At 37.8% G+C, this 23,245-nt stretch overlaps 1 protein-coding gene and 1 long non-coding RNA gene across 4 annotated transcripts in view; one reads left to right on the top strand and one right to left on the bottom strand.

The window, feature by feature from the left end:
- Positions 1-728: 728 nt before the first annotated feature.
- On the top strand, positions 729-23,076 carry ZNF277-AS1 (ZNF277 antisense RNA 1). Its single transcript, NR_186626.1, has 3 exons — positions 729-806; positions 10,148-10,215; positions 22,872-23,076. It is a non-coding gene; the product is annotated as a ZNF277 antisense RNA 1 (long non-coding RNA).
- The window catches only part of ZNF277 (zinc finger protein 277), a 137,240-nt gene continuing 121,330 nt past the window's right edge, over positions 7,336-23,245 (bottom strand). For all 3 annotated transcript variants that reach the window (NM_021994.3, XM_011515768.4, XM_017011720.3), the window contains 6 exons: positions 21,054-21,186; positions 15,099-15,166; positions 13,444-13,540; positions 11,385-11,427; positions 10,224-10,398; positions 7,336-8,709 (listed from right to left, as the gene is read on the bottom strand). In NM_021994.3, the coding sequence (NP_068834.2) occupies positions 8,541-8,709; positions 10,224-10,398; positions 11,385-11,427; positions 13,444-13,540; positions 15,099-15,166; positions 21,054-21,186 (685 nt within the window). In that variant the 3' untranslated portion in view covers positions 7,336-8,540. The remainder of the gene's footprint in view (positions 8,710-10,223; positions 10,399-11,384; positions 11,428-13,443; positions 13,541-15,098; positions 15,167-21,053; positions 21,187-23,245) is intronic.

Here is a 23,245-nt window from a genome sequence, read left to right as displayed (position 1 = left end):
TTACTTTCACTTTCTCCCCCTCCTTTAGAATTAAAAAGAATTTATAAACAATTTACTACAGCATACTCTTTTTCTCTTCTGTTTCCAAATGAATAAAACACCAGTATCTATGAACTTAACTAGAGTTTGATTTCCTGCTCACTCTGTAACCAAGTCAATTGACTGGGAATATCCTCAAAAATTGTTTTTTTGCAGTCTAATTTTATAAGGCAAAAAGAGCATAGCTTCACTTACATCTTAGAACATTGTGAAGTCAATATTAACTTCGCTGAATGTTTCAGTCTGAATTTAATGTGCTTATGATGCCACTGCAGATTGCTATCATCAGGAATCGAACATGCTTTAGCCTTTCAATATATCAATTATAAGGCATAAGAGTTCAACTGCAGCAGTTTAATCCTTTAACTACCCATCATCTAAAACTTACTGAAGGAGTTGAATTAAGCTTCAAGGATGCAGGGTGGCTATTTTTGCAGACTAAGCAAACAATAGTTGAAATTTGATGCCCTTGATGGAAATGGATGGAGTCTGTCAATTCTGCATATACATTCAGCAAAGTACTGACATTAAAACATTTATTCTTGTTCTGAGTGCATGTTCTACTCCATCCTCTCAAAGAATTGCTTTTCCTCCATTCATTAAAAAAGCTCAGGACTTGGCTTTGTCTCATTTTAAATTCCCATATATTATATTGTTGGATGTCACTTTGTTGTGCTTTTTTCTTTTGGCAGGTCCTCATCTCTCTGATCCTGTTTCCCATCGTCTCTTTACCCTTGATGAAGATAAAATTCCTGGCTAGACACCTTGTAAGATTGTATCTTCATTGTCAAGTGAGATAGAAAAGCTGTGAGGACCACTGAGCCTTACATAAAATGTTTTCTTCTGTGGTGACACAACACCTAGATTTGTAGCAGTTACTGTCATGATCTGCCAGTTCTTTTTTGCAATAACAGTTTCTCAGTCTTTGTGTGAGGGCCTTCCCCTACCTTCAGAGGATGCTAAATCAATGTGTGAGGCAAGCTGGAAGTGCCAGGGAATTAATACTGCCCCTGGGAACAGCCCTCAACCCATGACCAATGGGAGTGGGTGAATGGCCTAGCTTTTTTGCCCCTTGGTGGTGGTAGTGAGGGGGCGGCGGGGGGTGTTGTGGGGCAACTGTAAGAATAGTGTTCTGTGCAATCTCCCAGAGGTCCTCAGTGAGGTTGAGTCCTAGTTCCCATACCAGCAACTTCTTCCTTAATATACAGTTTCATGGTTTTTGTTTTTTGTTTTTGCATTTTTCACTCTCCTACTTCCTGAACCGGTATATTCCGGGTTTACCTCTTAAAAAAATGACCTGCACTAAGCACTAAAATTCTTTCTCAAGGCTGTTTGTGGGACTCAACAAGTTAAGACCCTAGTACTGATGGTTTTTCAGAAAGTCTATGTCTAACTAGCTCACAATGATATCCAAGCTATCAGCTCTCTGGCTTTATTTTGTCCAGCCTTAGTTCTATGTGAAACAAGTCTACTCTGCCTCCTGACTGACTGGACTTAGTGTATTTAGTGGTAACTTTCCAAAAGGTGGTTTCATGGTAATCCTGGCCACATCCACCATTTGCTAAGAGGCTGTGTACCTTCTAGAAGAGCCAGCTGATAAATGGCCAAGCAGATGGAGATGAAATATCACCTTTACTGCTAATTAAGATATTGCAGAACATGGCTTACTGCTGTGGGCAAGCAAGCTTCTTAATACTGAGCCCCCAAATTAGGCACTTATTTATATACATAGTCAGACAGTGTTGGACAACTCCAGTCATCCAACTGCATGGGGCAGACCCTTCCACTCTGATGTTTATACAATGGTGGAGCAGAACAGGCTGTGTTCTCTCTGCAGACAGGCAAATCCCAAAGAAAAAAAGGAGGAAGGGACCAAAGCACAGATGCTAGTTCCTGTCCTTTAAATTTCTAGTCAGAAAATTCACTCCTTCTGTCTGGTAGAAGTGAAAGAGGGAGCAGAGAGAAACCAAGAATGTTATGTAATGGATTCCCTTTCTCATAGAAGCAAAATACTTTGGAAGATGAGTTTCCCCTTTTCCAACACTCCTCAGGTTTTTGTTCTCTTTGCTCATTGGGCTTACCCACTAAGCTAAGGTCAACCAAGAGTGTGACCATTTCCTTTGCAGGAGGTCTATCAGGACAGTGCTGCTCCCACCTTCAGGAGTGCATCTCCCACCGCCCCCACCCGAATGACAACTACTCTTTGTGTATTCTCCTAGGACTGGTGGTGAAGAATGTAGCTATTGCTCTCAGAAGGCAATTCATTGATGGAAGTAATTCCAGGGCCATGCTGAACCCCAGCTGAAAGTTCCTAATTTCATCTTCCATTCCTGATTATGTCTAAACATGTTCACAATAGTGTATCAGAGGTTCTGCAAAGAGATAATATGGCAATGTAAAGTTGCTTCAATAAAAAACATTTTGGTAAAAATTGATGTTTCAAATTTAAAAACAATCTTGACCATTGTGAATCTCTCAGGGAGAAATTAAAATACAAAGATTGGATTCTCTTGTCTGAGTTAAAGTTAGAAGACATCAGAGTCTAAAATTCATCCTTCCCAATTTCTTATTCTGCTCATTCTGAACTAGATTCTTGATGCTGGGATGCACTGTGGTTTCTTCCAGCAGCCTGGAGAGTGTCTCAGAATTGCTAGTGTGGCTTTCTTCTGGAATTGGAACTTGAAGTTAAACACAAAGTTTCTGGTATATCTCACTTTCAAAAGAGTATCATGAAAGCACTAACCAGCAACAAAATTTAACAAAAGAAAATGAATCAATTCCACGATCTTCAGTAGTAAGACAAAATGATGCTCCCAGAGCTCTGCATTCTCCATAACAGAGACTTAGCTGTATCCTGATTTTGGATTCCCCAGGATGCTAGTCCATCTGTGTGTTACCTGATCTCCTTGATCTCTGAACTTAAACCTGATTGGGGGGAATCCTCCTGAAGACGTTAACATGTTTTATCATTCCTCGAGGAAGAATCCACAGATATTTCTCTCAGGGTGACATATGAGACATTTGCATTCTTGCCAAGTTGAGAAATAGGCAATGATGGCAAGCCCAGTTGCGCGGTCTGTTTTGACCCTTTTTTTCCCCATTCTGTATTTTCCTTTTGAGCCCTCTCTCTTCAACATCCCCTGATCCAGGGAGTTTGTGCTCTAAATAATGATGGCATAGTTTCCACACTCTCCTGTGTGCTCACTTCCCAGTTCTTTGCCACAGTGGCTCCTGTTGTTGCCTTGGGCTTTGGAATTGCCTCGGCTTGTGAAGGCTAGCTTCTAAGAATAGTTTCCCCTTCATTCCTTCACTTATTTCAGCTGGAAAACATCCTCGGCCTATTCCTGAACTAAAACTGCTGTTGATGTTTCTGCAGCTTGAATCCCTAGGCGTATTGGTTGGAATAAGGCTCGGCTATGAATAATAGAAAACCTTAAATAACTGTGGGAAGGTACAACTTTATTTCCTTCACATAAATGTGTATTTCAGCATTCCAGGGCTGTAGAGTCCTCCAAGGTGTCAGGGATCCAGATTCCTTTGACATTGATGTCTCACCATGCATGACTTCGACTTCACTGCCCCATATGCAGATATCTACATCCTAGGCCACAGGAGATAGGAAGGGATGAAAAACAAAGCAGAGGGTGCTTATGTCCAGTATCTTAAGGAAGACTCTTGGAAGCTGTCATATGAGACCTCCTGCTTATATCTCATTAGCCACAATTTAGACACAAGTACCCTGAGCTGCAAAAGAAGTGCAGTTCAGGATAACTGAACTTGGAAATGTAATTTTCATTTTAGGTAGCTTTATACCCAACCACACTTTATTATTATTGAAGAAATGGAGGATGGATATTGTGTGCAACTGGACTAGACTAGTTGCACTGGGACCTGGTGAGGACAGACACCTCTGCTGAGCCCTCAGCATATAACCATCCCTTGCTTTCCATCTGTCCAGGTTCCAACAGTACTTCTGCTCCTTTTTTTGGCAGTAGTGGATGTGTCCTAGTGCTTGGTTTCTCTGCAGGCCTTTTAGGGAGAAATAGCTGAATTTGTTACAGTATAACTTACTTTTTATGTTGATCTGTTTCCTTCCCTAATGTAAATAGGTCTAATGCTAGTTGTACTTTCTTTTTTTTTTTTAACTTTCTCTCTTTTCTGGGCCGGACATGTGCTTATCTAACATTTGGTTCTAGATTTATCTAATGGGGACTTCAGTTGTGAGAGATAAGTCAGTAGGTTTTGGTCTGCCAAAAGCAACCATTGTCCAAAAAATCTTGGCCGCCCTCACCTTTCTGAGTTAGATAATCTTAACTGGCTTGCATTTTCTAATTGGATTAACAGCTGATCTGAGCTTGGATTCCATTTATCACTGTCCTGCCTGGCTCTCTTCTGTTATCTTCCATCTTGTTGCCTTAATTCTGTCTTAATTCTAAAAATTTCTCAGGCACATTTCCTTTGGGACACAAGAAGCTCTTGTATGCCTATCTATAATTATAGTAACAACTGGAAATTCATCCAATAATTCCTTGAATGTTTTGCTTTCATCTGATATTTCCTCTCAAATTGTCCTGACTTTCAGGGTACACTTCGTATCACTGTCCCAGTCTTTGAAGAGCAGTTCCCAGTGGTTTTTATCAAGGAGTCTCTATGTAGCTTAGAGCTACATAGAGTCCTTCGCCAATAGTGGCCTATGCTCTTGCTCCATCTAGGAGTCAGTACAGTTTGCTGAGATTTTCCTTCTATTCTTGTTAGATTTCTTTGGGTCCAAGTTGCCATTTCTGTCCCCAAATAAACTTGAAAACGTTTAGCCACTTAAAAAAACAACTGCTAATATGAATTAAACCCTAAGTACAACATCTTTTCCCTTTTATGTGTTGGTCTGTTCTTCAATTTCATTTTTCCTTTTATATCTATTTGACTTGTTCTCTATCAACTTTTTCTCCAAAAAAGCTTTCTCCTTCCCAATTACTTAGTTTATTGTCTCATTCTTCCATTGCTCCTGTCCTAACACTGAAGCATGCTCTAAAAACCTCTTCAGACATTCCTTGATGTCCTGAATGAACCTGATTCCTAGAGACAGACTGTTGTAGGCACAGTCTAATTGTCTAGACTGCCTCTTTAATCTTTGGTTTTAAAATATTTAACTTAATTGCATCTTTAACTTAGGCATTTTTCATTATAATACAGGCTCCTATATCTTTGTTTGCTTAGTTTTCAATAAAAGCCTTTCATGGTGTCTGCAGAGTGGGAGGGTTAGAAATCTAGAGCTGTGGCCAGAGCCTATGTAATTAACAAATACAGTTGAGTTAGGACCGCATGGTGGGAGGAGGTTGACTCTTGAGTCTCTGGACAGGCAATACGACTCCAAGATGAGTTTTGGGGCATTACCTACACAGACTAGCATTAATAATTGAAAACCAGAGCCTCAGACTCCAGCATTCTGTAGCACATATGCTGCATAAAGAACACACTGTAGGGCTGGGCATAGTGGCTCACTTGAGGTCAGGAGTTTGAGACCAGCCTGGCCAACATGGTGAAACCCCATCTCTACTAAAAATATGAAAATTAGTCAGGCGTGGTGGTGGGTGCCTGCAGTCTCAGCTACTCAGGAGGCTGAGGTGGAAGAATCGCTTGAGTCCGGGAGGGGGAGGTTGCAGTGAGCCAAGATTGCACCATTGCACTCCAGCCTGGGAGACAGTGAGACTCCAACTCAAAAATAGAAAAGTAAAAAATAAAAATAAAAACCCACTGTAAAGAAAGGTCAGAAAGGCCTTTAGAAGGGTGATTAGGCCAGGAGGACAGCCCTCATGGATGGGATTAATGACCTTATAAAAGGGTTTGCTATAATTTCAATGTTTTGATGTTCCCTCCAAAATTCCTGTTGAAACTTAATTCTTGCTGCAACAGTGTTAAGAAGTGGGGCCTTCAGAAGGGTGATCAGGCCATGAGGGCAGAGGCCTCATCACTGGGATTAATGACCTTACAAAAGGGCTGGAGGGAACTAGCTAGGCCCTTTTGTCCTTCCATCCTTTTGTCCTGTGAGGACACAGCCTTTGTCCCCTCTGGAGGATGCAGTATTCAAGGTGCCATCTTGGAAATAGAGACTGGGCTCTCGAACTGGACACTAAACTAAGATCATGGACCTCCCAGCCTCCAGAACTGTGAGAAAAAAATCTAATTGTTTATAAATTACCCAGTCTCAGGTACTCTGTTATAGTAGCAGAAATGGATGGAGACAATGAATGATAATGGAACATGTTAAATAATATAAAGAAGATACAATCATCCAAATCCAGAAAGCAAGACAACTAATCCAATTGCTTTAACAAATAAGTGGCATTAAAAAAAAACTGTGAATTGTTATAGATTAAAAGACCCTTAAGAACCACACCAACCAAATATAGTGCATGGATCTCACTTGGAACCTGATTAAACAAAACAACTGAAAAAAGACTTTTTTTTTTTTTTTTTTTTTTGAGATGGAGTCTTGCTCTGTCACCCAGGCTGGAGTGCAGTGGCGCGATCTCAACTCACTGCAAAACTCCACCTCCCAGGTTCAAGCAATTCTCCTGCCTCAGCCTCCTGAGTAGCTGGGATTACAGGTGCCCACCACCACACCTGGCTAATTTTTGTATTTTTAGTAGACACGGGGTTTCAGCATGTTGGCCACGCTGGTCTCAAACTCCTGACCTCGTGATCTGCCCACCTTGGCCTCCCAAAGTGCTGGGATTACAGGCGTGAGCCACCGTGCCTGGCTGAAAAAAGACATTTTAAAAAACTTTTAATTTTGAAATAATTTCAGACTTTCAGAAAAGTTGCCATAGTACAGAGAATCTCCACATACTTTTACCTAGATTCCCTAAATGTTAACATCTTGCCATGTTTACTTCATTATTCTATATATACCCTTGTTAGTTTTTTGGGAGTAAGTTGCAAACAAAATGCTCCTTTACCCCTAAATACTTCAGTGTGTATGAATATTTCCTGAAAACAAAGACATTCTCATCCCACAGTACAGTTATCAAAATCTGGAAATTAACAACAATACCATAACACTTACTATAAATCTTACTCAAATTTTGCCAGTTGTCCTGCTAATGTCTTTTGTAGCAAAAGAAAAACTTTTTTTCTTGGTCTAGCATCCAATCCAGGATCATGCTACGCTATCTTTAGCCACCTTTAATCTGAAATAGTTTTTCAGTCTTTGTTTTTTATGATGTTAAAATTTTTGAATAGTAAAGGCCAATTATTTTGTAGAATGTCCTTTAAATTTGGATTTTTTTTTTTTTTTTTCCTTTTTTTGAGACAGAGTCTTGGTCTGTTGCCCAGGCTGAACTGCAGTGGTGTGATCTCGGCTCACTGCAACTTTTGCCTCCTGGATTCAAGCGATTCTTGTGCTTCAGCCTCCCAAGTAGCTGGGACTATAGGTGCATTCCACCATGCCTGGCTAATCTGTGTATTTTTCGTAGAGATGGGGTTTTGCCACGTTGGCCAGGCTGATCTTGAACTCCTGACCTCATGTGATCCTCTGCCTTGGCCTCCCAAAGTGCTGGGATTACAGATATGAGCTACTGTGCCCAGCCTCAAACTTGGATTTGACTGTTTCTTCATTATATCCAAATTATGCATTTTTGGTATAAATCTACAAAAGTGATATTCTGTCCTCCTCAGTACATCTTATCAGGAGGCATATAATATTCATCAGTAATGAAACTGATAATATTGTAAACATACATTTTGAGACAAGTGGGAAAAACTGAAAACAGATGATATTAAGTTAATGTTAATGTTTTTTAGGTGTCATAATGGTATTGTGGTTATGTTTTTAAAAAATGGCATTTAAATGTTAGTGACATACAAATTGCAGGGAAAAGTGAAGTTAACTGGCTTGATGTCTATTTCTAGGGAATTTGGCCACCCTAGGCAGAAAGTGGTAATAACACAGTCAGCTCTTGATTGTTCTAATATAATGGCCAATTTGCATATTATCCACGTCTTTGACCATTTCTTCTTTCTTCTGTGGCTTTTCTTTTAGTCATTACATTTACAGCTCACCCAATATAGTACAGAAGGGATATTCAAATTTTGCAACTTGTTGGATGAAGAAGGTCCTTGGGGAGGAGACTGAAACTACTGATTGAAAAATCAGGTTTATAAATAATTTGAACATTTCATTTCTTTGTAATTGACATATACTTCTATATATAATTATGAGTTTAATGAAGTGAGATAATTTAAGATGATCACACAATAAAACTTTACAGCCAAAATACAAAGTCTTCATCTTATTTTCCTACTTCATTTTTTTTCATGTTCTTAGTAAGTGCATTTTTCTACTTTATTTTTTGAAAAGAACATTCATTTTTGAAAAGTTTATTTCACCAAGGACCAATCTTTTGTTGATGTTCAAATTTAAATTGTTCTTTCATATCTGTCTCATAGGAGAAAAACATGAAAAATTGCTTCTGTGGTAGTTTCTTCTAGGTTTTCAAGTACTCTTATAGTAGCAACTGGTTCAAAATACTGCTTTGTTTCAAAGCATACAGTTTAGATGTATCTTCACTGATGATGGGAACATTTTCATTTTGTTCCTGAGCTGTCAGGTCACTTTCACTGTCAGATAGTGTACACAGGAGAGTGTCATTTTCATAGGTTGGAAAATAATACCTGAAAACAACCACAGATACATAGTATTAAATTACCAAGCTAATACAGTGTCCAGGTAGCTGAATGTACACATTTACTATAATTTTGTCAGGTATCCTTGCCAACAATTTCATAGCATTTTGCAAAGGCTATACTGGAGACAACTTCTGATTGCTTTCACTTTGACTTTTACTGGCTGACATCAACCTTACCAAATCTACTATCCAGATTTGGTAAACCAAGATCGTGGACCTCCCACCCTCCAGAGTTGCCTCTGGAGTTGTCCGCTGGCCACTTAGCCTCTGCTTGATCATCTATCATGATAACAAAACACACTATCTTCGAAGGTAGCTGACCCCAGTAGTGGGTAGATCTAGTTGTTTGATACACCTCCTGTGAAGCTAAAAATGACATCTTTCTCATTTCTACTCAAAGGTCCTAGTTCTTCCTTATAAGTTAACAAACTTCAAATATAGTTAATTTTTCAAACACAAATTATTCAAATAATTGAGAATAATAAGCTCTTCCTTGTGTTTTGTTTTCCAGCCTAATAGTTCCTTCTTTCTAGGTAATCACAAAAGGAAACACTTACGGAATATAAAGTTTGTTATTCTGGTTCCTTCTCTGAATACATTTTGAAGTTACTTTTGGAATATTACAAATTTTAATTTATATAAGAAGGATCATAAAAACAGGGTACCCTCACAAGTGTGGGATTTTCTGAAGGAGAAAAACTAGAACTTTCTGGTTAAAGTTCTGGGGGAACTGACTTAACATTCCCTAAGAACAGAAGGAGCTCTGGGCAGCTAGAACCCCACAGTCTCTCAGAGGAGCCCTCGACTGAGGTTATCCAGAACGATGTGAGAACCAGTCCAGAAGGTTCTTGGCAAAGGATACTTGGGAACCAGTCCACAAAGTTCTGGCAAAGGATACATGGGAATCCAACAACAGATGACCAACTGCTTAATTTTTTCAAGTGCCAATATACAAAATATATACAAAAAGTCCTAGCAGTGTGCAAACTCTGACATAGTAATTTTATTTCTAGGAGTTCAGCTTAATTAAATAATTAGATAAGTGTGCTAAAATGTAGGCATATAGATTCACTGTATCATTATAATAGCAAAAAGTAAGAAACAACCTAAGTATCTCGCAGAATAGATTATATCCATACAATGGATATTTAGCAACCATTAGAAAGGATGCAACAGATGGATACTGGCTATTGAAAGATATTTACAATATTTTGTTAATAAAATATAATTTAAAAAATCTGTATCTACTTCATCTCTCTACATATGTATCTATCTCCATATCACAAATACTGAAAAATACTTGGTTTCATTTGTAAGAGGGGGATTATTTTAAAAATAAGCATTTTGAATATTTTTACATTTTTCCCCACACTGTACTGATGTATACTTTTTATAATAAATATGTATTCCTTTTTTTTCTGTAGGCTTAAAGAAATTAAATAAAGGGACAAAATCAAAGAGTTGGAGTAAGAAGTGCACATTTGGTTTTGCAGTACGTACTCCAGTTGATCCCACGTCTTTCTATCGGGGAGCAGCGAAGTGTGTTTAGTTTCTTCCATGTGAGTTCTTAAGTCTGCTTTGGATTTGAACTTCACATGGCAGCCATAACATCTGCATTGGTGAACTTGCCTCCGAATAAAATTGACCAGTTTCACTTGCTGATAGAAATTTAATCCTGAAAATGACAAAATACAGAATCATTAGACAACTGTTCAGACCCATTTTTTGCACTATTATAATTTCTTAAAGGAGCCACTTATTTTTATTAATCAACCTGAAGAGGCAGTACAATTATAAAGCATAATAATAGATACCAAATAATAACAGCACATATTTACACAGGGCTTATGAGCTAGGCACTATTCTAATAATTTTCCATGTATTAATACATTTAATCTTCATAAAACCCTATCAGATAGGTAGTATCATACCTACATTACATATTAGGAAACTGCCTAGCATCGCATAGATAGCTGTCAGCTGCAAAGCCCATGCTTGACTACTAAGCTAATTATATAAACAATGTATATATATGTCTATAAAAGCAGCAAAGTAACACATCCAAGGACCTAGGAAAGCAGTGACTGAGCTGAGCTGTGAGAAGTAAGTTTTTTACTGTCTTAGATCTATTAGCAAGTCAGTACTTTACGTATGTCTTAATGCCCCAAATCGTTCTATTGTTGTGATACTTAGAATGATACATTGGGTACACCTATAACAAACAATCCTAGCTATACTGCTAAGCAGTGCAGTAGCCATTTACCATACATTATTCACTCCTCATAACATTTTTCTGACCTGAGGCCCAATGTCATAGCCAGTAAGTGCCAGAGCTGGAATCTGAACTCTAGTTTGACTTAAAAATCCATATTCCACTAGCCCCCTCCAATTTATGATATATTATTAACCACTAACTTATATTTCACTTGAAGCACTCATATATGTAGGAAAGAGAAAGAAGGAGTATATGAAACCAAAAACCATATTTGACTATTATGGTTGAGCATCACTGCTTCACAGAGAGTTCTGTCAAGACCATCTATAGAGAGACATGTTTTGGTGGTGCACTCTCCAATCATAGCTACTGAACATAGGCATAGCTTACAGGATGGTTTATAAAAAATGAAGCATCACAGAAAAAAACCTCTGAATCAAACTTACCAAGTTCTGACTTTATTTTGAGAAGATCAAATTCGTGTGCATCCTAAAAAAGGAATGAATACATCTGTAAGCATATGAATTATTTAATCTTTCAGGCTGAAGTTATAAACAACTTATTCACAGGAGTTTGAGTAGTTTAGAAACTCAGTCTGAGTTCGGTATCTTCTGCTTTTGAAGTCTTCCAAGTCTAACTACTTCCCTCCATACCCAACTTTTTTACAGCATAGTCCAAACAAGTCATGTCAATCAGTTAAACCATTATAATTGGGCCGGGCGCGGTGGCTCACGCCTATAATCCCAGCACTTTGGGAGACCGAGGTGGGCGGATCACCCGAGGTCAGGAGTTTGAGACCAGCCTGGCCAACATGGCAAAACCCCGTCTCTACTAAAAATACAAAAATTGGCTGGGTGTGGTGGTGGGTGCCTGTAATCCCAGCTACTCAGAAGGCTGAGGCACGAGAATCGCTTGAACCTAGCAGGCAGAGGTTGCAGTGAGCTGAGATCGTGACACTGCACTCCAGCCTGGGTGACACAGCGAGACTCCATATCAAAGAACAGCAACAACATTATAATTGCTCATAGCTTATATCTATAGTTTTTATAATTTACAATGTTATCCATTTTGTAGCCTTCTAAAAATGTAGAAGTCTATGTATGCATTCTGCAGTGTGATAAAAGTGTAGGTAAGATATGTTTCTATTGTACTGTGCATTTGGACTAGAATTATGGATATAGGTTCTTTGCCCCACATAGGTAATTTTTACAAATTCTGCTTTTCATTTTATGCTGTCAAATACACTGTTTAAACCTCAAAGCTTCTCTTCACTCACACCTTCCTATAAATCACGCTTTCTTTTGATTTTTACAATGCACTTATTTTTTGCGTGTTTGTTTGACACCTGCAATTGTCTGTGTAAATGTTTTAACCTACAATCTCACAGATGATAAAGACCATTTAACTCACTGGGATGGCATTTAGTGTAGCACCATATGAAGGATGATTAGGAATTCGTGATGTTATCACTGAAAGTGACCCAGCAGAGGTTAAGGACACCTGTCAAGGATGCCGAAAAGGTAATCCTTACACAGGATAGGCATACTAAGGCTGCCTTCAATACAAAGACATTAAGATATTATGAATTAAATCTAAACACAGGAAATTATACACACATACTAGTGGGAACCTTTTTCAGAGAAACTAAAATCAAGGAAAATGTTTATGGTCTTTTGAGCGCTTTCTAGGCCCTTATTTTACTAAACTAAGAACAGTATTTCTGAATAAGGGTGAGGTGAAAGTGGGTGAAAGTAGAGAATATGGTCCACTATTGGCAGAGGTGGCTGCAGGGAGGGGACGGAGAGATATCAGAATCATCCAGTAATATTTTTCTATTATAATCACCCCTCTGCCCACAAGCTGTGATACTATCATGAATCATTACATGTTCCCCTTCCCTATCCGCCTTGTGCAGCTAAGGATCAGAGGTGCAGGGTGTGTGTCCTCTCTCAGGTATACTGGGGTGAAAAAGGTTTAGAACTGCTAGCTCCAAGCTTCACTATAACATAAAAATGGCATCCAGAAGGGAAAGCCCACACTAGGAATGCTCCCTAGTTTCTTCTCTCTAAATCCTGGCACCTGAAGGAACTGTAGGATCATGCCCTAGCTCCTCTCTACCCACCCTCCTTTTTCCCTATTCCTCCGGGACCTTTGTAAATGGCAATGTTCTCCCTTCTTGCTCTCCTATTCACCAGCACAAGAAGCACTGGAAAAAAGACTCAGAACCTGTCCCACCTGCTGAGCTAGAATGATCTTGTAAGCATCTCAAAGGTGAGATGGCATCAGTGGTCTGAGAAATCTCACACTAACAAACAGCTCACTCGGGTCCAGTCAACTGTACTAACTAAATTGCCCTGAGCTCTGGTTCTCCCTGACAGACCTGGCCTGTCTCTTCTGGTTGGAATAATGATTGGGAAACTGAAGTAAAAGCAGATGAGGGTGCAACAATTACTAGCTTTCCCCTGTCAGAATAAAACAAAATTCAAATAAATACAGGTATCTTACCTCCATGTGGACATACAACTTCTCAATTGTTTCTGCTTGCTTTTCACAAAATAAGCAGACTGCAGAGGCAGGGTGTTCTTCCCAATCAGACCAGTCACTGAATTAAAAAAGAGGAGAGAAAATACGGAGATTCCCTTCATTAAGAGAGTATACTACACAGTGACTTGGTATTGCTTTCTCCTTACTAAAAAACCCTGCCAATCTCTTTCAACTCTGACATTTTGGTAAAGACTGTCACATCATATTATGACTCTCTGATATAGCTTTTGAAATTCAAAGCAGCACCATGAAATTAATATACATAGTGAACAGGTGCTGTTCCATTTTCTCCTATTTGCCGTTCTTCTGAGTAGCTATCTCAGTCTACAGTCAGAGGAATGTCGTCCTGAGACAATGAGGTTTAATTTGCAAAGGAGACATATCAGAAAATGTGATGCTCTCTCCCATTAACCACAACCACTGAGTGCACACGCTGTGAGGTGTGATGCCGGGAATGTGTTTCTGCATGACAAATAGTGTATTTTACAAAGGCAAACCGTGTCTCTTTCACGAGGGAAATACTGATTATTTTAAACTGGGCAAGTGTTAAATCTGGCGGTAGACAGGGAACTCAAAAAGGATACAGGATCCCTTTTACCACTTTCCCCGCTCCTTGGCATTTCCCTTTTTGAAATACTACCAACTTCTTATCATTCCCAAACCAGGAAAACTGCCAGGAGGGAAGAGTTGTGGAGACAAGGAACACCCATTCAAATTCAGATGAGAGAATTTTTCATGGCAAGCTCAGAAATGATCACTGATAAGACTCTCAAGATCAACCTAACCCAATTCACACAGAAGCTTCCCTATTAGAAAACAGGAAACATTTTCCTTAACTCTATCCATCCAGGAGGGAGCCACCAGTCCCGGCCCAGGTCATGACTTACTATTTATAACCTTTTGTGTCATTAAAACTTTAACATTCACTGATTAAATATTCCAACTAGTATGTCTTAATGGGAAAGATGTTTTTATTTCAGTCTGGAAGACTCTCTGCCTGAATCTCTATGCATCAAGAAAATTCAGCAAATGGCAGCTCTCTACCTTTGGGCTTTACCTCACTATTAAAATAATAATAATTTAAAATCCTGAGAGAGAAAAAAGGCCAAAAAGCTTTGACTGAAAAGAAGATGAAAAATAAGAAATCCTTTTAGGTTGAAAAGAACATTTCTCAAGCTTATAATTTCAAGCAAAGAAGCTGTGAATGTTTAAAGTTAGTCATCAATGGCCCGAACACAGAACAGGATTAACTTCAATGCAGTTATATTCTCTATTCCAATGACAGCAACATGGAGAGTTCAAAGATCACATCACTTCAAGGTCTGAGCACTAACTGAGCAGGCAAAGCACTTCGGAATGTATTTTTCTCTGAATTATATATTACTTGTGTGTTCAATCAATAGCTTTAATTTAGTTGGAATAACAGTGTCTTTAGGAATTTTTATGTCAAAGTTATTTTGAATTCAAGTTTTTGCCACATTACATGAAGGGATGCATGGCTCAGAGAAGGTATTTTTTTCTTCTTATGTTCCCGCTTCATAATTTAAACCAAACTAAAGCATTGTCTTCTTACTCTTGGAACACTGCAATTAATTAGCAGCAATAACAACTCTTACTCTTCCTGATGGTCCAGCAACTCCCGATCATCTTCCAACTGAACTTCTTCCCACGATTTTCCAAGTTCCTTTGTAGGAAGAACAGAGGGATGAGAGACATTGGGGGAAAGAGAAGGGAGAGAGTATGTAGAACTTTGAAAAAAATCAAAACCAAAAAAATAAACAAAACCACCCATGTTTAAATGGTTTTGAAACAGTACAAGTAGGATATACAGATGGCCCAACTTATGATGGTTTGATTCAACACTTTTTTTTGACTTAATGACAGTGCAAAAGCAATATGAAGTTGAAACCTTAATGAGATAATTTTTTAGAGAAGCAGCAATATCCTTTCAGTCAAGTTCTTTTCTCTTAAATTTGAACCAGTGTTTCTAAACCCTGAATGAGTATTAGAATATCTGGGATTCTAATGGCCTTTGTTCATTGTTACATTTCCAGAGCCTGGCATACAGTGGGTACTATTACTATAAACTATTTTTTGAGTTGAATTAGAAAGTAGAATTCAATTTGTTAGAAATAAAAAATAAAAAAATACACTTGAGGTCAATTTAGATTCTACCTCAAAAGGTTTTTTTAAGGTGATTAAATGAATGAGTTACTGTCTATAAAGAAATAGTACTAGGCATGAGTAGGTGCTCTAGTACCTACTCAAATCCCTTTTATCCTTTGCCATCAGTGGAAAAGTTCCACTCTTTTGGCGCTATGTCTGGCAAGCCTAGTCACAGCGTTAGCAAAACTTTATGGAGTGATGAGTAGGAATGATTTATTTTGGCCCAATTCTTTTGTTCCCCTTGGGCCGTTTCTTCCTCTCTTCTTGCCCTGTCTTCTTTCTATCCAATCTTCCCATTGTGCCATGCAAAAGCAGACAATGTCACAAAGAGAGAGGTAGGAACATTAATGGATATGTTTTCAAGCAGCTAAACTATGGTTAGGATCAGGCCCACCTGACCTGCTACAAGCATGGATAGCTTTGTTGTTCAATATCCTTTTGGAAAAACAAAACCAAAATTCACTCAATTATGGACTCTTTTTCCCCCAAATAAAGGTATTCATCTAGCTAAAAACAAAGAACTATGAGTGCCATTATGATTTAGAGGGAGAAAGAAAATCCATTATTCATCAACTTAATGAGAGGTTTTGAAGCTGTCATTATCAGCTAAATGATGCATACATTTAGATATACAGAGATCTATCATAATGTCATTAGAGATGGTTAATTTGGACTCTATAATGTACTTCCCAGAGTCATCATGAAGTGTCTGAATCTCATTACAGAACACCAAAAATGGCCTCAACACTGCCAACAAGATGCTTGTTAGAAAGTTTGGTAATGAATTAAATCTTTCATGCCTTACTTGGTTTTTCTGTACTTGGACTTAAGGTCATGGTTTTATTGCTGCAAGGTATTACTAAAGTATGGGCCTTCTGTGATTTGATCATTCTGAATGATAAGGGCAAATGTTGCTTGTCAATGAATATTTTGAGCCAAAAGTACAAAAAATATCTTTCACTGTTAAACTTCTAAACTCAAAGCATTATTTTGCAACTTCCTCAGTGTTGAGTACAATATGTAGAGAGTTATCTAGGCCACACAGCATTAACCACTTACCCCACTTGAGAGGAAAATGAATGTACATGTTTATCAGTATATTAGGAAATAAGCAATTTGCACGTGAAAGTGGCCCAGTTTCCTAGAGTGCTCTGATTTGGTACAGTTAAAGATATGATTTATTATAGAAACAAGACCCAAAGCAAAAAAAAAAAAAAAAGCACATAACTCTCTAATTAAGACACTGTGCCTGCTAATGAATCATGTCAGGAAAGCAAAGAATGTAAGAAAAACAAAGTTTGGAAGGCATATCACTAAAGATGTTCAGACACCCCCTCAAACCCCTGCATCAGATGGCTCATGAATAATGAGAGGGTGGAAAAAAACATGGAAAAAAAAGATCCCCTTCACCCATCACACTTCTGCCCTAATACATACACACTTACATGTGCTTACACAAAACTCCACCAGAAACAGAAAGAGAAGTGTTTTAAGTGTAAATAACTTCACTAGAGAAAACTATAAAAAACTATGAAAAATCAGTTAAAAGCTTACTTTTGTTATAAGTGGCTTTGTATACTTTAAGAATAAAAAAATTTAAATCAAAGAATGATAAAAATCATAGCAAAACCAATTCCCTTTAGAAAAACTCAGGGTTTGAAACATGAGCATCGTAGGAATATGTAGCTGAAGCCTCGATGTTAAACAGTCTGTTGCCCTCTGAGGAAGGGTTATCTGAATGTGAAACTAACTGGCACCTTATCCCCAACCCATCCTCACTACCTGTTGAACTCTTTTGTTTGTGAGAAAACAAAGCAAGAATTTGATGTAGATAATTCAGACTATGCAAAAGACTTTTAATGTTTTTGCAAGTCTGTTACTATTCAGAAACTGATATGAATGATTCAGCACAGAAATTATCTCACCTAAGAAGGAAAATGGAACTTGTCAATTTGCTGAGCTCAGAAAGCCAAATGCAGCCTCTCTGTCCATTTGCTCTCCTACTTCTGCTGCCTATTAGAGTGTATCTTGCTACGGATACCCTGGATGTTCCCATCATTGTTGCGCTGGCAGAGTCTATGGCGTTTGAAGTGGAGGTGAGGAGCTCTGTGTGTGAATGACTCAATGACTGCATATATCTGCTATAGGAGAGGTCGAACGCTGACTTTCCATATACCATTACAAAGGGTTCAAACTAACGTGCTTACATGGTGGTTTTCCATACTGACTTCTGAACTCTTTGAAAGTAGTGACTCAAATCAGCCTTTCTATCTACAATATTTTTTCTTTCTCTTCTAGCATCTGGTACCTGGAAGGCACTCAAATGTATGCAGAATGTATGATGTCAATAAAATAGATGTATAAACCCACTACTAATATAACAATTCTATCTTTTGCCCACACTCATGCACTCATGTCAGCCTTTTCCCTCAGAGGGATAACAAGGGAATATCTATCTTTTTTTTTTTTAAATAAAGTATTGTCATTATTCATTGTTTAAAATTTTAGAATTTATTCTTCATATTGATTTATTACTCATGTTCTTCACGTTAAATATTATTCTTTAATGAGGTCTGAAATAATACTAACATGATACTGAGAAGACACTGGCCTTTATTTTTCTCTACCTATACTCTGTTAGTATTTGGGACAGTTTTTTATACACTTGTTCTATATAATATTATACTTTAAATATATAACAGTATTCCTTCAAATATTCCTAGAATGTTACTAAGCCTGATACCTCTGGTAAGCACCCCTCTAGTTTAGTGCCTGTGTATATCTTTAGTGAAGCCAATAGGCTTCTTCACTCCTTTTCAAAGGTGTTTACATCATTTCCATAATGCTAAGGCATCAACACATTTTAGGTTTTCGTTTTTTGTTAATCATTCTTACAGTTTTTGGTTACTTACCTCAGCAGGAATTTCGCATAGGAATAGGGAATAGAAAATAGGGAATAGGAATAGGAAGTGGAAACGGGCTAGGAAGATGAAGATTGTGGAGCAGAGCCTTAAAGTGCTGATTAAAGTCAGCTTTACTTTGACCTTGGCTCACTTTTTAGTTTATTATAAAAGAGAATAGGCAAGGGTGGGAGAATAGATCATTATGAACTCATCACCATTACTTGGCCAAAATACCCAACCCAAAGCATAAGATGTAGGTATTAGTCTTGTCTCAATTGTAAAAATGAAGGAAACTGATGCACAGGATAAGTAACTTGCCCTAGCCATGTGACCTTTGGAAAATTAGCCTCTCTGTGCCCCAGTCCCCTTACCTATAAGAGGCTTAATGACAATACCTGTGTCACAAAATTGTGACTTAAATTAAACAATTTAATATAAATACCTAGGATAGTGCCTGCAGATTATAAGTACTCAAATAGCTGCTAGCTAAAAAAAAGACTTCTATCAATATGACTCTAAAGTTGTAATTTAATTTTCATTTTGTACGTTGTTAAAGCCCTTACTTTCTTTTGAAACACTTCTCTTAATGTGTAGTCCACGCCACATCAAATCCGTGCCCTGTATGAGCAGCACAATCTGCCATGCTCATCCAGAGATGGCTGGCCCTGGCAGATGATTTCAGTTTTGACAGCTACCCTACTTGATGCCCAGGAAATGAAGTATCATACTTTTCTAAAAGTGCTGGCAGAATAAGAGTGAGCAAATCCCTTGAAGTCTCCTCTAAAAGGTGAAAACCTCCAGCTATATAATGTTCTGCTAGTCTCAAGATCTTGAATATTAGTTTTAAAAGAGCCCCAGAAGGAAGAACTATTAAATTGCTCCTATAGCTAGATGCAGTAGCTGAATATTTCTTAGAGCTAGCACTGAAGTCCACTCCCTATTAGACTGGGCTGGGTCCTGAAGCAGCATTTGCTCTAGGAAGTAATGACTGAGTGATTTCAAGAAAAGATTGAAAAGCTCAAAGGGTACGTTTGCCTTTAGCTGGTTGTAAAACATTTGTAGAAAACCATGGCAACCTCTTAGAGTCAATCTTCAAACACATGTTAAACTTGCTTCTCAAGGGGAATTTTAACACTACAAGGAATAGTTAGAACAGACAAAATTCCACCCTAAAGCAGAGATTTCCAACATAATTCAGGATATGCTTGTTTCTATCCAATAGATAAAATGGCTGATTATATTCAATTAGCCTTTTGTGACCAGTGGGTTTGGGTTTTAATTCATTTACATTGAGAGAGAAAAAAATTCCATTTGCTTAAGAAAAATGCCCATTCAAAACAGAACTCTCTGTTTTTCTTCCAATTCCTCTGGAGAGTTACATAACCTCTTCTTTTATATGAGTAGTTTCCCTCCTTTGTCATATATATTTTTTAAAAATCAGTAGATTGAAGGCAGGCCCAGTTCCCCAGTCATTGTTGTCTATCAAAAATCCCCTCCCATATTTCCAAATGCCTCTCCCCATCCCCCACTGTCTCCATCTGAATGCCTCTTGGAAAGGAGAGCTATCAATACATTTAAAATGCTTGGCATGGTAACCTGGTTAGTCTACCCTACAAGCCAAACAAATAAAAATCCCCTTCCATAGTAAAATGGTTTGGTTTCCTTGAAACTTCCCTTAAAAATAAGCTGACTGAAGAGAATGATAAAGATACACACTTTTGTAGGGGTGAAGGGGAAAGAGCAAAGAGATTGTTTTTAAAGAATTATTTTGCATAGCACCTAACACATCCAGTACTCAACAGTTTCTTTTGAATAGAATATATAGAAGTCTCTCTGGCCAGGTGTGGTGGCTCACTCCTATAATCCCAGCACTTTGGGAGGGCAAGGCTGGTGGTTCACTTGAGGCCAGGAGTTCGAGACCAGCCTGGCCAACATGGAGAAACCCTGTCTCTACTAAAAATACAAAAATTAGCCAAGTGTGGTGTAATCCCAGTGCTGTGCAGCACAGTAGCTGTAATTCCAGCTACTGGGGAGGCTGAGGCAGGAGAATTGCTTGATACCAGGAGGCAGAGGTTGCAGTGAGCCGAGATCGTGCCACTGCACTCCAGCCTGGGCGACACAGCAAAACTCCATCTCAAGAAAAAAAGAAAAAAAAAAAAAAAAAAAAAAAGAAAGGAGTCTCTGGCCCCAAGTTAAAAGATATTACATAAATGGGGGATGGTATGTGGATATCCAAATGCTGTATTTTTTTTTTTTTTGGTCAAGATGACTGTGAGTTCTAGAGACATGACATTTTTACTACATAAACACTGTCAAATAAAAGACAAGTCAAATCAAATGTCTTGTACTCTAACCATTTCAAAGCTAATCACTACTTGAATGTGCCCCTCAATTACATTTTGACTTTTGCAATAATTGCTTATTCAAATATTAGTTGGTCCTCAGAAAGATTTTGTTTGCAGTACTGCAATCAAATTTTAAGTTATGAAAAGAAAGCCTTACCAAATAATTGATGACATAAAATCTGTCATATTCTCTGTTCTTAGGATTAATCTTACGATGCTGTTTTTTCCTCATGTGATCTTTAAGTGTATTTTTGTCCCTGAAGGTCTTCTCACAGTACAAGCACTGCAAACTACAAGAAATACACAAACACTGATAAACAAGTCTCTTGTATAGTTGCTGCAATAATCCTTTATTATTATTGAGTTTCATATTTATTCATTTTAGGTTACACAGCATCTTCAAATGGGATATACCATCCTTGTCAGAATCCCCCCTCACTTTATTCATTTGGCTTTGTAGAGTGCATAGTATGGTGTATTTTGTAGTCAGCTAAGTTGACCAACTTTGCTATTCAGTTAAGACTGTGACAAAGATAGGTAATATCCAAAAATTATTTTGGTTCTTTACTAACTGAATTACCTATTCTAAAATAAGTATGTAGGTATGTTCTTCAATTAATTATAATGACTTGCACTGACTGCACCCATTGTATGTAATAATTAGTACATGGTTTGGGATATCCTGTGAGCTGATTTGCAGGGTTTAATTCCTTGCTCCAGTGCCAGCTAGCTGTGGGACTTTAAGTTACTTCCCTTCTCTGTTGCCATTTTCTGATTTCTAAACTGAAGATAATACCAACATTTTAGAGATTTTTAAATGATAATTTCATATATATATATTTATTGAGCACTTACTATGCACTATGAACTGTGCTAGGTATTTATTCATGTATGTGAATAAGATAAATAGTAGCTGTTACTACCATATAATTCTCATATACCTTCTGCTCAAATATTTCCACTGACTGGGCATTCATTACCTAATGAAGCAGTGATTACCAGTTTTGAGCAGATTATTAACAAAATGTCTTTCTCATACTAAGCCTGACAGTTGATACAACATGTATTATAATTGCTACTCAGTAAAAAGTAGAGAGTTCTACTTTCTGGAGCCATATAGTGTCTAAGTATAATATATTTTACATGGGAAACTCTCAAATGATTGCAATCTGTTATTGTTTCAATTTTGAATTTGTTTTTATCTCTACTAAACACCTTTTCATCAATTTCTTATGCCAAAGAATATATTCCAGGGCATAATAATATTCTTTTGTAGTATATTCTTTTATAGTTGACAATTTATGGGTGATAAGCTGATTATATATATTCATTATTGCTAATCTTGCTAGAAGGCACATCTGGTCTTATTTTATAGGTAGTCGTTTAACAAAAGGGTGAAGGGACTCGATTTAACATAGTGGTGACATCAAAATTTGAGTTAAAAATTTCTTATAATTAATCTGTATTACTTGCTTCCTCTTATTTATTTATTTATTTATTTTTGAGACAGAGTTTTGCTCTTGTTGCCCAGGCTGGAGTGCAATGGTGCAATCTCTGCTCACTACAACCTGTGCCTCCCGGGTTCAAGCGATTCTCCTGCCTCAGCCTCCTGAGTAGCTGGGATTACAGGCATGCACCACCATGCCCGGCTAATTTTGTATTTTTAGTAGAGATGGGGTTTCTCCATGTTGGTCAGGCTGGTCTCAAAATCCCGAGCTCAGGTGATCCGCCCACCTCGGCCTCCCAAAGTGCTGGGATTACAGGTGTGAGCTACCACACCCGGCCCTTATTTTTTTTTCTATGTTGTTGCTCTCAGTGTTGTGGGTTGAAGCACCACACTTGTTAGTATTTTATTTAAATAAAGAAAACTGGGTTCTCAGAGAAAAAATTTTGGGCCCTTTCCTAGAAAGAAAAGTGGATACGTTTTTGAAAGTCATTTTGGTGACCTAAAGAATTTTCTTCCTTATTTCAACAGGCTAAGCTCCAGATATGGTTGCCAGAATATGACCTTGAGGAAATGGAGTATTATATACAAATGTGAATGAAAACCAAAAGGCAGAAGAATACACACAGTATGCTACGTTTCACACAAAATTAAACACCATTCCATAATTTGACAATATATTTACCTTATTGAATATGTAGACAAGTTACAGTGAAAAGTAAAGGAATTACAATTACAAAATTAAGAATAGTGGTTTCTGGGGAAATACTAATGAGGAAAGACACACAGGGAGATTCAAAGGAATTAACAATGTTCTATTTCTTAGGCTAGACAGTGAGTATATTCTTCATATCCTATACGGCATACATTGTATGATATGTATATTGTTTGGTATATATGACATA

Source organism: Homo sapiens, chromosome 7 (assembly GCF_000001405.40).
Source record: "Homo sapiens chromosome 7, GRCh38.p14 Primary Assembly".
In the NCBI taxonomy this organism is placed as follows: Eukaryota; Metazoa; Chordata; class Mammalia; order Primates; family Hominidae; genus Homo; species Homo sapiens.
Note: the sequence above shows the minus strand (reverse complement) of the source record. Positions and strands in the feature narration are given on the sequence as shown.